The following is a 1,364-nucleotide window of genomic DNA, read 5'->3' on the forward strand; positions in this document are numbered from 1 at the left end:
TTGGATGGCCTGTGAGTTTTCTATTATAGAATCAAAACCACATTTTCTTAAAACATGAGAGGCTGTGGTCTATTCTGCCTGAGATCCCCATGTGATGCCAGAGGAGCCACAACTCACAGGCCCTGCATCACCTGCTGCTGTGTGCGGATGAGGAAGTCTGTCTTCCTGGAGGGGGTTCTTATGAGCACAAACAGTGATGAACGACGTTAAATGCATGATGGAAAACTAAGCCACCACAGAAAGCTGGCTGCTCACCCCACAGAGGCACAGAAAGCTGGCTGCTAACCCCACAGAGGCACAGAAAGCTGGCTGCTCACCCCACAGAGGCACAGAAAGCTGGCTGCTCACCCCACAGAGGGAGAGCACTTTGTGGACAAGACCTGATTCTTCCTTCCTTCCTTCCTTCCTTCCTTCCTTCCTTCCTTCCTTCCTTCCTTCCTTGCTTCCTTCCTTCCTTTCTTTTTCTTTCTCTCTCTCCTTTCTTTTTCTTTCTTTCTCTTTCTTTCTTCCTTTCTTTCTCCCTTTCTTTCTCTTTCTTCCTTTCTTCCTTCCTTCTTTTTCTTTCTTTCTCTCTTTCTTTCCTTCTTTCTTTCTTTCAGCAAAATCTCACTGTCACTCAGGCTAGAGTGCAGTGGTGGGATCACAGCTCACTGCAACCTCGACCTCCTAGGCTCAAGCAGTTCTCCTGCCTCAGCCTTCTGAGCAGCTGGGAGTACAGGTGCACAACACCTCACAAAGTTTATTTTTTAAAGTGTTTGGTAGAGACAGGGTCTTGCTGTGCTGTCCAATCTGGTCTTGATCTCCTGGCTTCAAGCAATGATCCCACCTTGGTCTCCAAAAGTGTTGGGATTACAGGTGTGACCGCCATGCCTGGCCAAGACCTGCTTCTTAATCATTGCTGGAGTCGTAGAGCCTCACACTGTGCCATCCATGGTACCATAGAGAGAAAGGAAAGCACTTATAAATGTGTACATTACCACCCCAGCTGCCTCCCAGGGAGGTGAATCCCTCATCAGGCGCCCTCTGCTGAGTGAGTGATGGCTATGGAGATGGCGGGGAGGTGAATCCCTCATCAGGGCCCCCTGCTGAGGGGGTGATGAGTATGGAGATGCAGGAGAGGAGGAGTTGGTACAGAGCTGAATTTTCCAACACACAACAGAAAAATAAATGAAAAGTAAGGCAGTGGCTAATACAGGGTTGGGGTGGGGCCAGGGGAAATTGAGTGGCTGGCAGACGGGTAGCAGGAAAGGGGAATGACGGGGGCTGCAATGTTACAGGGCAGGTTCTGAAGTTGTCTGACAGGCGGTGAGTGATAGAGACCTTTTTCTGGGTCTCCCAGTGAAAACTTTGGTAAACACGTGACT

General features: G+C 49.4%; 1 annotated feature.

Annotated features, from left to right (window-relative positions):
- Positions 802-1,364: an enhancer, noted in NCBI's record as "NANOG-H3K4me1 hESC enhancer chr19:29440411-29440973 (GRCh37/hg19 assembly coordinates)". NCBI's record gives its function as "activates a minimal SCP1, AML or CMV promoter by ChIP-STARR-seq in primed H9 embryonic stem cells {active_cell/tissue: H9 hESC(primed)}" and the evidence as "EXISTENCE:reporter gene assay evidence [ECO:0000049][PMID:30033119]".

Source organism: Homo sapiens, chromosome 19, assembly GCF_000001405.40.
Source record: "Homo sapiens chromosome 19, GRCh38.p14 Primary Assembly".
NCBI lineage: Eukaryota > Metazoa > Chordata > Mammalia > Primates > Hominidae > Homo > Homo sapiens.